A 14,481-nucleotide genomic window follows, 5' to 3' on the forward strand; every position below is an offset into this window, starting at 1 on the left:
CTCTACTAAAAATACAAAAAATTAGCCGGGCGTAGTGGCGGGCGCCTGTAGTCCCAGCTACTTGGGAGGCTGAGGCAGGAGAATGGCATGAACCCGGGAGGCGGAGCTTGCAGTGAGCCGAGATCCCGCCACTGCACTCCAGCCTGGGCAACAGAGCGAGACTCCGTCTCAAAAAAAAAAAAAAAAAAAAAAAAAAAAAAAAAGAAAAAAAAAGCCAATCTTCTGGAGAGAAATTCAAACCTGCTGCAGAAATTTGCATAAGTAACAAAGAGCCAAATGTTAATTATCAAGACAATAGGGAAAATGTCTCCAGGGCATGTCATAGACCTTTATGGAAGCCCTCCCCATCATAAACCTAGGGGCCTGGAAAGAAAAAATAGTTTAATGGGCTGGGCCCAGGGCCTCTCCTGCTATGTTTAGCCTAGGGACTTGGTGCCCTGCATCCCAGCCTCCCTAGCTGTGGCTAAAAGAGACCAAGATATAGCTTGGGTCGTGGCTTCAGAGGGTGAAAGCTCCACACCTTGGCAGCTTTCACATGGTGTTGAGCCTGCAGATGCACAAAAGTCAAGAATTGAGGTTAGGAAACCTCTACCTAGATTTCAAAGGACGCATGGAAATGCCTGGATGTCCAGGCAGAATTTTGCTGGAAGGTCGGGGCCCTCATGGTGAACTTCTGCTAGGGCAGTGTAGAAGGGAAATGTGAGGTTGGAGCCCCACACAGAGTCCCCATGGGGCTATGAGTAGAGGGCCACTGTCCTCCAGACCCCAGAATGAGAGATCCACTTACGGCTTGTACTGTGTGCCTGGAAAAGCCTCAGACACTCACTGCCAGCCCATGAAAGCAGCCAGGATGGGGGCCGTATCCTGCATAGCCACAGAGGTGAAGCTGCCAAAAGCCATGGGAGCCCACTTCCTGCATCATCATGACCTGGGTGTTAGCCATGGCATCAAAGGAGATCATTTTGGAGCTTTAAGATTTGATTGCCCCACTGGATTTCAGACTTGCATGGGGCCTATAGCCTCTTCATTTTGGCCAATTTCTCCACATGAAATGAGTTTATTTACCCATTGCCTGAACCCCTATTCTATCTAGGAAGTAACTAGCTTGCTTTTGATTTTACAGTATCATAAGTGGAAGGGACTTGCCTTGTGTTTCAGATAAGACTTTGGACTTGGACTTTTGTATTAATGCTGAATGAGTAAAGACTTTTGGGGACTGTTAGGAATGCATGAGTGTGTGAGGACATGAGATTTGGGAGGGCCATGGGCAGAATGATATAGTTTGTCTCTGTCCCCATGCAAATCTCATCTTGAATTGTGGCTCTCATAATCTTCATGTGTTGTGGGAGTGACCTAGTGGGAGCTAATTTAGTCATGAGGGTGGTTACCTTCATGCTGTTCTCATGATAGTGAGTTCTCACAAGATCCGATGGGTCTATGAAGGGCAGTTCCCCTGAACATGCTTTCCTGTCTGCCACCATGTAAAATGTAGCTTTGCTCCTCCCTTGCCTTCTGCCATGATTCTGAGACCTCCCCAGCCATGTGAAACTGTGAGTCCATTAAACCTCTTTTTCTTTACATATTACCCAGTCTCAGATATTTCTTCATAGCAGTATGAAAATGGACTAATACAATTTCTATAGTTGTCATACTGACTTGCATCCTGAGCTTGGTAGCCCACACTCAAGCTTGCCTTTTGAAATGGAAAACATCACTTTTTGCCCTCTCTACCCTTTTTCACTTTGCTCCATTTCTAGAAAAGCTAATTTCTTCGCATTGATTTAACAAATTATCTTGCTTTCTAACTTTCGGTTAGATATAGGCAAGAAGTCACATTGACAGACTGTACTAAAGACTTACTATCTTCAGTAACTTACCAATTTGTGGTGTCTGATGTCTTTTCTCTGGGGTTTCAATGAACCCAGGGTTTTGTATTTCAGGCTAAGTTTAGAGTATTGATTTTCTAAGATTTAAGCTGAGTAAAGGTTATTACTGTATATCTAGCCTTTTGTTGACTAGCTCTATGACCACTTGGAGCTACAAAACACCATCAAGTACATGGGTCTAGATTTTTTTTTCTTTTCTTTTCTGTTTTCTTTTTTATTTTATTTTTTTGAGATGGAATCTCTCTCTGTCACTTAGGCTGGAGTGCAGTGGTGCAATCTCAGCTCATTGCAACCACCTCTTGGGTTCAAGCGATTCTCCTGCCTCAGCCTCCTGAGTAGCTGGGATTACAGGTATGTGCCACCAGGCCCGACTAATTTTTTGTATTTTTAGTAGAGACGGGGTTCCACCAAGTTGGTCAGGCTGGTCTCGAGCTCCTGACCTCGTGATTCACCTGCCTCAGCCTCCCAAAGTACTGGGAATAAAGGCGTGAGCCACCGCACCTGGCCTGGGTCTAGATTTTTATAAGCAGTTTTGGATACAGGGCCAGTTCCAAGAGAAAAATTAATCCAAGACATTCTCATCTTTCTCTTTCCTCTCTTCCATCCTTACACACACACACACACAGACACACATACATACACACACACACACACGCACACACAGACACAGTTATATCTTTATGTCAAGAACCTGAATAGTAAAATTGGTATATTCTACATAGGGCATAAACACAGAATACAAAAAGAAGAAAAAAATTGCCAGTAATTAAAACTAAATATTCAACAGCACCATAACCAACATAATAAAAATAAAATTATAGATATAGAATTTTTCACCTAGCAAAATGAAACAGATAAAAAGATAACATAACATCCCATATTTGCCAAAAAAAAACAGGTTTTCTCAAGATCCAGTAGTACAGTAGAAAGCTGAGACAAACTTTGCAGAAGCAATTTGACAATATTTATCAAATGCATTAACTCTACTCTTGATGTCTCAATAATGTTATCTCTAGAGATTTATCTTAGAAGAATTATCATGGTGTGCACAAGAATTTATGACAGAGCTATGAATAAGAGCAGCACACATATGAAAACAAACTATACGTCCACAAATAGGGATTTGAAATACATATTATAATATGCCTGGCTCATATACCATTAAAATTATGTTTTAAGAATAATATTTATACTTCCATTTTTAGCTATCAAATGAAAATAACTTGAAAGTTTTCACAAGAAAGAAAAAATACAACTGAAAATCAATAGCTTTTCTTTTTTGGACCAATGAGAGAACCAAGTCTCAAGGTAAACTACTATCCTGCAATCTGAAAAGACAGGTGAATTCAGCACCACAGTCAAGACTACCTTATCTGGGGCATACTCAGCTAGAGCAGAAACTGATAAGAACATTTATTTAGCAATTTTGGTGAATTATTGGAGGCTGAATGTGGACTAGCTTAAGTGTGAGAAGGTCTTTGAAGCTGCAGTTTAGGAAGGTCACCACATTTTTACTGGGTTTTGCCTCCAGTATTCCCATCAAGTGCTCACAGTGAAGAGCCTAGAAAGCTTCTATCCAGGGTCTGGCAGATGATCTGGATGAATAAACACTTTGAAATATGCCCAGAGTTTTCTACATAACAAAGCCTGGCTCTCCAGAGGAAAAGATTACCATCCTGTGGAGGGACATTTCTTCAAATTTAGCTTTCCCATCTCACCTAAGAGGCTAAAAACAAGGAAAACACACTTGTAAAGGCCATGTCCCAAGTACATAGGTTCCCTAAAGGACTTTGGTTAATTCATAAAGTTATTTTATCACAAAGGTATTTTATCCCACACCTTAATACAACAGGAATACAACATAATTTCAAAGAGATACAAGTCATTCAGACTATCAAAGAAGGACTTCTTAGGCAAACACAAAAATAAATAGGAAGACAAAAATAGACAGTAGAGTAAATTGCATCTATGGCTATCACTCAGAACCGCTCAACTATATGCAAACTGAACAACCTGCTCCTGAATGACTACTGGGTACATAACGAAATGAAAGCAGAAATAAAGATGTTCTTTGAAACCAACGAGAACAAAGACACAACATACCAGAATCTCTGGGACACATTCAAAGCAGTGCGTAGAGGGAAATTTATAGCACTAAATGCCCACAAGAGAAAGCAGGAAAGATAGAAAATTGGCAGCCTAACATCACAATTAAAATAACTATAAAAGCAAGAGCAAACACATTCAAAAGCTAGCAGAGGTCAAGAAATAACTAAAATCAGAGCAGAACTGAAGGAAATAGAGACACAAAAAACCCTTCAAAAAATTAATGAATCCAGGAGCTGGTTTTTTGAAAGGATCAAAAAAATTGGATAGACCGCTAGCAAGACTAATAAAGAAGAAAAGAGAGAAGAATCAACTAGATGCAATAAAAAATGATAAAGGGGATATCACCACTGATCCCACAGAAATACAAACTACCATCAGAGAATACTACAAACACCTCTATGCAAATAAACTAGAAAATCTAGAAGAAATGGATAAATTTCTCAACACATACACCCTCCCAAAACTAAACCAGGAAGAAGTTGAATCTCTGAATAGACCAATAACAGGCTCTGACATTGTGGCAATGATCAATAGCTTACCAACCAAAAAGAGTCCAGGACCAGATGGATTCACAGCCGAATTCTACCAGAGGTACAAGGAGGAACTGGTACCATTCCTTCTGAAACTATTCCAATCAATAGAAAAAGAGGGAATCCTCCCTAACTCATTTTATGAGGCCAGCATCATCCTGATACCAAAGCCTGGCACAGACACAACCAAAAAAGAGAATTTTAGACCAATATCCTTGATGAACATTGATGCAAAAATCCTCAATAAAATACTGGCAAACCGAATCCAGCAGCACATCAAAAAGCTTATCCACCATGATCAAGTGGGCTTCATCCCTGGGATACAAGGCTGGTTCAATACATGCAAATCAATAAATGTAATCCAGCATATAAACAGAACCAAAGACAAAAAACACATGATTATCTCAATAGATGCAAAAAGGCCTTTGACAAAATTCAACAACTCTTCATGGTAAAAACTTTTAATAAATTAGGTATTGATGGGACATATTGCAAAATAATAAGAGCTATTTATGACAAACCCACAGCCAATATCATACTGAATGGGCAAAAACTGGAAGCATTCCCTTTGAAAACTGGCACAAGACAGGGATGCCCTCTCTCACCACTCCTGTTCAACATAGTGTTGGAAGTTCTGGCCAGGGCAATTAGGCAGGAGAAGGAAATAAAGGGTATTCAATTAGGAAAAGAGGAAGTCAAATTGTCCCTCTTTGCAGATGACATGATTGTATATCGAGAAAACCCCATTGTCTCAGCCCAAAATCTCCTTAAGCTGATAAGCAACTTCAGCAAAGTCTCAGGATACAAAATCAATGTACAAAAATCACAAGCATTCTTATACACCAATAACAGACAAACAGAGAGCCAAATCATGAGTGAACTCCCATTCACAATTGCTTCAAAGAGAATAAAATACCTAGGAATCCAGCTTACAAGGGAGGTGAAGGACCTCTTCAAGGAGAACTACAAACCACTGCTCAATGAAATAAAAGAGGATACACACACATGGAAGAACATTTCATGCTCATGGGTAGGAAGAATCAATATTGTGAAAATGGCCATACTGTCCAAGGTAATTTATAGATTCAATGCCATCCCCATCAAGCTACCAATGACTTTCTTCACAGAATTGGAAAAAACTACTTTAAAGTTCATATGGCACCAAAAAACAGCCCGCATTGCCAAGTCAATCCTAAGCCAAAAGAACAAAGCTGGAGGCATCACACTACCTGACTTCAAACTATACTACAAGTCTACAGTAACCAAAACAGCATGGTAGTGGTACCAAAACAGAGATATAGATCAATGGAACAGAACAGAGCCCTCAGAAATAATGCTGCATATCTACAACTATCTGATTTTTGACAAACCTGAGAAAAACAAGCAATGGGGAAAGGATTCCCTATTTAATAAATGGTGCTGGGAAAACTGGCTAGCCATATGTAGAAAGCTGAAACTGGATCCCTTCCTTACACCTTATACAAAAATCAATTCAAGATGGATTAAAGACTTAAACGTTAGACCTAAAACCATAAAAATCCTAGAAGAAAACCTAGGCATTACCATTCAGGACATAGGCATGGGCAAGGACTTCATGTCTAAAACACAAAAAGCAATGGCAACAAAAGACAAAATTGCAAATGGGATCTAATTAAACTAAAGAGCTTCTGCACAGCAAAAGAAACTACCATCAGAGTGAACAGGCAACCTACAAAATGGGAGAAAATTTTCGCAACCTACTCATCTGACAAAGGGCTAATATCCAGAATCTACAATGAACTCAAACAAATTTACAAGAAAAAAACAAACAACCCCATCAAAAAGTGGGCGAAGGACATGAACAGACACTTCTCAAAAGAAGACATTTATGCAGCCAAAAAACACATGAAAAAATGCTCACCATCACCGGCTATCAGATAAATGCAAATCAAAACCACAATGAGATACCATCTCACACCAGTTAGAATGGCAATCATTAAAAAGTCAGGAAACAACAGGTGCTGGAGAGGATGTGGAGAAATAGGAACACTTTTTATACTGTTGGTGGGACTGTAAACTAGTTCATCCATTGTGGAAGTCAATATGGCGATTCCTTAGGGATCTAGAACTAGAAATACCATTTGACCCAGCCATCCCATTACTGGGTATATACCCAAAGGACTATAAATCATGCTGCTATAAAGACACATGCACACGTATGTTTATTGCAGCACTATTCACAATAGCAAAGACTTGGAACCAACCCAAATGTCCAACAATGATAGACTGGATTAAGAAAATGTGGCACATATACACCATGGAATACTATGCAGCCATAAAAATGATGAGTTCATTTCCTTTGCAGGGACATGGATGAAACTGGAAATCATCATTCTCAGTACTATCGCAAGAACAAAAAAACACCGTATATTCTCACTCATAGGTGGGAATTGAACAATGAGAACACATGGACACAGGAAGGGGAACATCACACTCTGGGGACTGTTTTGGGGTGCTGGGAGGGGGGAGGGATAGCTTTAGGAGATATACCTAATGCTAAATGGCGAGTTAATGGGTGCAGCACACCAGCATGGCACATGTATACATATGTAACTAACCTGCACATTGTGCATATGTACCCTAAAACTTAAAGTATAATAATAATAAAATAAAAATAAAAAAACAAACAAACATAATACAGTCCAATTCCTAGACAGATTAATACATAAACCCACACAAAGGATCTATTTACTTCCTATTACCAAATATATTATGTCTAGTTGAACAAAATGTATAAGACATCTTAAGATACAAGAAAAATTACCCAGGCTTAAAGGACAAATCAAACATCAAAATCAGAATCAAAATAAAATACATTTTATCAGAGAAGAAATTTAAAAACATTATGTTAATATACTAAGAAATCTTATTGTAAAAGTAGACGATGTACAGAGTAAATGGCTAACACAAGCAAAGAGAAGAAATTGTAAGAATCAAAAGGAAATAGTAGAAATAACACTCTAAAGGTAATAAGGAATGCTTTTGATGGGTTCATTAGTATGTTGAACTTGAAAATATATCAATATACATTTCCAAAAATAAAATGCAAAGAAAAATAAGAAAGAAAAAGAGAAAGACCAGAAAAGAGGGTCCAAGAACTGTAGCAATTTTACAAGTTGTAACATATGTATAACTGAATGATCAGAAAGATAGAACAAAGCAGAAGAGATAATTGAATGATTAGAATTTTCCAAAATTAGTGACCAATCCAAACTGTAGATTCAGAAAGCTCAGTGAACACCAGTCAGAATAAATACTGAGGCTGGGCATGGTGGCTTATGTCTGTAATCCCAGGACTTTGGAAATACGAGGCAGAAGGATCACCTGAGGTCTGGAGTTCGAGACCAGCCTTGCCAATATTGTGAAACCCTATCTTTACTTAAAAAAAAAAAAAAAAATTAGCTGGGCATGGTGATGCATGCCTGTAATCCCAGCTACTCAGGAGGCTAAAGCAGGAGAATCACTTGAACCTGGGTGGCGGAGGTTGCAGTGAGCTGAGATTATGACACTGCACTCCAGCCTGGGTGACAGAATGAGACTCTCTCAAAATAAAATAAAAAAATTCTACATATAGGCATATTATTTTCAAACTGCAGTTAAAATAATAAAGCCAAAGAGGAAACTTTTTACAAAGCTAGTGAAAACATCTTACCTAGAGAAGAACAAGTATAATCAAACTTCTCACAGAAACATTGATGCCAGCAGGAAGACAATGTAGTAAAATACTTAAAAGTGTTGGGGAAAAAAATACCAGGAATTCTATATCTAATGAAATTATCCTTCAAAAGTAAAGCAGAAATAAAGACAAATAAAAATGAAAGCAATTTATCAGCAGCCTTGTTCTGTAAGGAATGTTATAAAAATTTAGACAGAAAAAAATATTATATAGGTCAGAAACCTGGAACCAAAAAAATAATGTCAGTGAAGGAAAAAATAAAATATTTTATTTTTGTTATTCTTAACTAAAATGTAATTGTATTTAAAGTAGTAATGGTAAAAATGTATTAGGTGATTATATCATATGGATAAATGACATAAATAACAATATCATAATAAGTAGAAAACAGGGTATGAAAATAACATAAGATGCCTTCACTATATATGAATAGATATTGTCTTATTTGAATGTAGACTCAGATTAGTTATAAATACATTTTCCAAAACCTAGGGAAACCACTAACTTTTAAGTACAGTTTATATAGAATAAAGGAGGTAAAATAGAATAAAATAAAATGCCTAATTAAAACCAAAGAACACAGAAAAATAGCAGATGCAAAAAAGACAATTAAAAAATGCAATGAGTGGAAAACAATTACAAAAATGGTAGATATTAATCTAATGTTATTGACATTTAATGTGAATTGTCTAAATATGCTAATTAAGAGATTTTCAAATTGAATATAAAAAACAAGATTCAACCATATGATTGTATGAGAAACCTACCTTAAATACAAAGACTGAGATAGGTTTAAAGTAAAGGGATGGAGAAAGATATACGATGCTGGCACTAATCAAAAGAAAGCTACTATAGGATATTAATTTAAGACAAAGTGGACTTTAGAACAATGCTAATTATCAGAAATAAAGAGGCATTACATATTGATAGAGGGGTCAATTCTAAAAACAAACAAACAAACAAACAAACAAAAACAGACTATTCTAACTATGTATGCACCTAATAAGAGAACATCAACATAGTTGCATCACAAACTGATAGGATTGCAAGGAAAAATAGACAAATTCACTATTTTAGTTGAAAACTGCAACAACCCCTTTATAGTAATTTATACGTGAAGCAGGAAAAATATCAGAAAGAATATCCTGACTTGGAAAGCATCACCAACCAACTTGATTTGATTGCTCTTTTTAGAATACTCAATCCACAACAGCAAGAGTACGTATTTTATTTGCTCACATGAAGCATTCACCAAAATAAAAATAATAATAAAAAAACATTGTGGATCTTAAAACAACTTTTCATAAATTTAAAGTAACAGAAATAATAGAAAACATATTTTCTATGAGATCTCAGTGGAATTAAAGTAGAAATAAATAACAGAGAGATAGTTGGAACATTTCTAAATATTGGAAGATTAAACAAGACATACTTAGGTAACATACGGATTAGTAAAGAAGTCTCAAGAGAAAATTTTAAATATTTTGAAGTAGATGAAAACGAAAATACTGTTTATCTAAATTTGTTGGATGTTAGGAAAGCAGGCTGAAGAAAATGTATAGCCCTGAATGCATACAGAAATGCATGTAGATGAAAAGAAAGTTCTAAAATCAACATTCAAATCTTCTGTTTTAGGAAAGCAGATATAGAAAGGACATTTAAGTATAAAACACCAGTAAACACCAGACCTAGTGGTTTCACTAGATCTGAATGATGAGATCCAGGTGGTTTTATTGGTGAAGTTTACCAAACATTTGGGATAGAAATGATATCAATTCTTGAAAATCTATTCCAGAAAATGGAAGCAGAGGGAGCCAACTCATTTAATAAAGCCAGCATTACCCTAATTGCAAAACCTGATAAATAAATTTTTAAGCAGAACTGTTAAGCAGAAGACCTTACAATGGTTATAAATTCCAGGGGAACACTCTAAACCTTCTTCCTATTGTATCTTGGCATTGAAGGCACCAAAGAAAACACAATGCAGTCAACTACTAAATGGAGCTACACTTTACTTACATAGGGAAGAGGCAGAGCAAAATCAGCTTCAATAATGTGCATGAGTCCTCCATAGATAGTGGGTCCCTCTCTGGCAGCCAACACAAGGACTTGGCTACATGCAACACTCTTGTACCTCATTAGAAAAACCTTGTTCCTTCCCCACAGAGGACAGATATATAGTGCAGTTGGCCAGGTGCCATGTGACCCACATGCTTAAGCAGAACAGAAGAATATACCTTAAGCTTGCAATAGAGAAATATATTTCCGCACAAGGTGATAAACCCAGCACGGGCTATGTGAGCTCTTTATCTCCTTGTAAGAAAGTGATTTAGGTCCAAGGTCCATTTGTACATAGCCAAGCAGGCGTAGAAAGACTGTGCATATGAGAATGCCTTTTGGAACAGGTATCACAAAAAGGAACTAAAAAAGATAAGCTGAAAAATTTTCCTTCCACCCTCTAAAAAAAGGTGTCTTCATCCTAATCCCTGGAACCTGTAGTGTTATCTCATATGAAGGGTAAAAAATGGTCTTTGCAAATATAGCTAAATATCTTGAGATGGGGAGATAATTTATTATCTTGAATTACCTGGATTGGTTCTAACTGCAGTCACATATATTTTAACAAGTGGAAGAAAGAGGGGCATTTGATGCACACAGAAGGGAAAGCAATGTAAAGATGCAGCAAAGATTGCAGTGATGCAACTATAATCTAAGGAATGAAGTCAGGCACTATAAACTAGAAAAGAGAGGGCTGAGATACTTCCATAGAGCCTCTGGACGAAGTATAGCCCCACCATCACATTGGTTTCAGCCCAATAAAACTGATTTTGGACTTCTGGCTTCTAAAACTGTGAGATAATTTTGTGTTGTTTAAGCCACAAAGTTTATGGTATTTGATACATCAGCCATGCGAAATTAATATAGGATGCCACAGACCAATGTCCCCCATTAATATAAATGCAGAAGTCCTCATCAACACATTAACAACTGAATTCATCAATATATAAAAATAATTATTGATATGGTTTGGCTGTGTCACCACCCAAATCTCATCTTGAATTGTAGTTTCCATAATCCCAACCATGTCATGAGAGGGACTCATGCGGAAGTAATTGAATCAAAGGAGCAGTTCCCCCATGCTGCTGTTCTCATGATAGTGAGTTCTCATGAGATCTGATGTTTTTTTAAGGGACGTTCTCTCCCCACCCCCGTCACTCATTCTTCTTCCCGCCACCATGTGAAGAAGGATGTGTTTGCTCCCTGTTCTGCCATGACTGTAAGTTTTCGGAGGCCTTCTCAGCTTTGTGGAACTGTGAGTCAATTAAACCTTTCCTTTATAAACTACTGAGTCTCAAATACATCCTTATAGCAGTGTGAGAATGAACTAATACAATAAATTTGTCCCAAAGAGAGTGGGGTGCTGCTATTAGGATACCTGAAAATGTGGAAGCAACTTTGGAACTGGGTGACTGGCAGAAGTTGGAACAATTTGGAGAGCCCAGAAGACAGGAAAATGTGAGAAAATTTGGAGTTTCCCATAGAGACTTGGAGGGCGAGGAAGACAGGAAGATGTGGGAAAGTTTGGAACTTCCTAGAAACTTATCGAATGGCTTTGACTAAAATGCTGCTAGTAATATGTACAATGAAATCCAGGCTAGGGTGATCTCAGATGGAGATGAGGAACCTGTTGGGAACTGGAGTGAAGGTTACGCTTGCTATGCATTAGCAAAGAGACTGGCAACATTTTGGCCCTGCCCTAGAAATTTGCGGAACTTCGAAATTGAGAGAGATGATTTAGGGATCTGGTGGAAGAAACTGCTAAGTGGCAAAGCATTCCAGAGGAAGCAGAGCATAAAAGTTTGGAAAAAACAGCCTGACAATAAGATAGAAGAGAAAATCCCATTTCTCTGTGGAGAAATCCAAGCCTGCTGCAGAAATTTGCATAAGTAGCAAGGAGCAGAATGTTAATCACTAAGACAATGGAGAAAACATCTCCAGGGCATGCCAGCGACCTTGATGGCAGCCCCTCCAATCACAGGCCTGGAAGCCTATAATGGAAAAATAGTTTCACGGTCCAAGTTCAGGGCCTCACTGCTGTGTGCGTCCTCGGGACTGCGTCCCAGCCACTCCAGCCTTGGCTAAAAGGGGTCAAGATACAGCTCAGGTCATTGCTTCAGAGAGTGCAAGCCCTAGCTCTTGGCAGCTTCCACACTGTGTTGAGCCTGCAGGTACACAGAAGTCAAGAATTGAGGTTGGGGAAGCTCCACCAAGATTTCAGAGGATGTATGGAAATGCATGGATGTCCAGGCAGAAGTTTTCTTCAGGGGTAGAGCCCTCATGGATAACTTCTGCTAGGGCAGTGTGGAAGGGAAATGTGGGGTTGGAGCCCCCACACAGAGTCCCCACTGGGGAACTGCCCAGTGGAGCTGTGAGAAGAAGGCCACCATCCTCCAGAACCCAGAATTCAAGGTCCACTGATAGCTTGCATTGTGCACCTGGAAAAGCTGCAAACACTAAACACCAGCCCATGAAAACAGCTGTGAGGGGGCTATACCCTGCAAAGTCACAGGGGTGCAGCTGCCCAAGGCTGTGGGAGTCCACTTCTTGCATTGGCATGACCTAGATGTGAGACATGGAGTCAAAGGAGATTATTTTGGAGTTTTAAGGTTTAATGATTGCTCTATTGAATTTCAGACTTGGATGGGGACTATAGCCCCTTTGTTTTGGCCAATTTCTCCCATTTGGAATGGGGTTATTTACCCAATTCCTGTACCCACATTCTATATAGAAGGTAACTAACTTGCTCTCATTGTACAGGATTATAGGTGGAAGAGACTTGCCTTGTCTCGGATAAGACTTTGGACTTGGGCTTTTGGTTTAATGATGGAATGATTAAAGACTTTGGGGAACTTTTGGGAATACATGATTCTGTTTTGAAATGTGAGGACATGGGATTTGGGAGGGCACAGGAGTGCAATGATATGGTTTCGCTGTGCCCCCACTCCAAATCTAATCTTGAATTGTAGTTTCCATAATCCCCTCATGTCATGGGAGGGACCTGGTGGGATGTAATTGGATCATGCTGCTGTTCTCATCATAGTGAGTGAGTTCTCACAAGATCTGATGGTTTTATAAGGGGCTTCCGCTCCTCTCCTTCACTGATTCTTCTTCTTCCCGCCACCATGTGAAGAAGAACATTTTTGTTTCCCCGTCTTCCACGACTGTAAGTTTTCTGAGGCCTTCCCATACCTGAGGAACTGTGAATCAATTAAACCTCTTTCCTTTATAAATTACCCAGCCTCTGGTATGTCCTTATAGCAGCCTGAGAATGAACTAATACAATTATTCAACACAGTCAAATGGAATTTACCCGACGTATTTAAGGCTGATTACCACTTGAAAACCAATTAATATACTCCATTGTATCAACAGGCCAAATAATTATATTAATTGATGCAGAACTAGCATTTCACGAATTTCAATAACCATTTATACTTAAAAATTTCAGGAAACTAGAATAGAAGGGAACTTTCTTAATTTGCTAAAGAATGCCTCTGCAAACCTACAGTTAGCATCATATTTAATGGTGAAAAACTGGATACTTTCCACCAAAGAGTGAGAATAAATGTAAGATACGTTATCTCACCATTTCTCTGCTACATTGCACTGCAAGTCAAAACTAGTACAGTAAGACAAGAAAAATAAGGAAAACATATATAAATTAAAAAGCAAGACACTAAACTATCTTTATTTAGAAAAAACATGATTGTCTATCAAGAGCATTCTAAAGAATCAATTTTAAAACCTTGGATTTTATTAATAAGTATAGCAAGTTTTCTGAATATTAAAAAAAAGTAATACTGCTTGTGTCCTTTACCCACTTTTTAATGGTTTTTTTGTTGTTGTTGTTGATGTTGTTAATTTGTTTAAGTTCTTTCTATATTCTGGATATTGGGCCTTTGTTTGATGCACAGTTTGTAAATATTTTCTCTTGTTCTGTAGGTTTTCTGCACACTCTGTTGTTAGTTTCTTCTCCTGTGCAGACACCAAAAGCAATTGTAGCAAAACCAAAAATTGACAAATGGGACCAAATTAAACTAAGAGCTTAAGGGGAGTATTTCCAGCTTTTGCCCACACAGTATGATGTTGGCTGTGAGTTTGTCATAGATGGCTCTTATTATTCTGAGGTCTGTTCCTTCAATGCCACGTTTGCCGAGGTTTTTTAACATGAAGGGATGTT

At 38.2% G+C, this 14,481-nt stretch overlaps 2 annotated features.

The window, feature by feature from the left end:
* Nucleotides 1,934–2,103: an enhancer, noted in NCBI's record as "experimental_104178 CRE fragment used in MPRA reporter constructs". NCBI's record gives its function as "activates a minimal promoter by MPRAs in K562 erythroleukemia cells, with activity observed for the introgressed 9:105077731 variant allele {active_cell/tissue: K562}" and the evidence as "EXISTENCE:reporter gene assay evidence [ECO:0000049][PMID:34662402]".
* Nucleotides 10,075–10,244: an enhancer, noted in NCBI's record as "experimental_104183 CRE fragment used in MPRA reporter constructs". NCBI's record gives its function as "activates a minimal promoter by MPRAs in K562 erythroleukemia cells, with activity observed for the non-introgressed 9:105085872 variant allele {active_cell/tissue: K562}" and the evidence as "EXISTENCE:reporter gene assay evidence [ECO:0000049][PMID:34662402]".

This window comes from Homo sapiens, chromosome 9, assembly GCF_000001405.40.
Source record: "Homo sapiens chromosome 9, GRCh38.p14 Primary Assembly".
Lineage (NCBI taxonomy): Eukaryota > Metazoa > Chordata > Mammalia > Primates > Hominidae > Homo > Homo sapiens.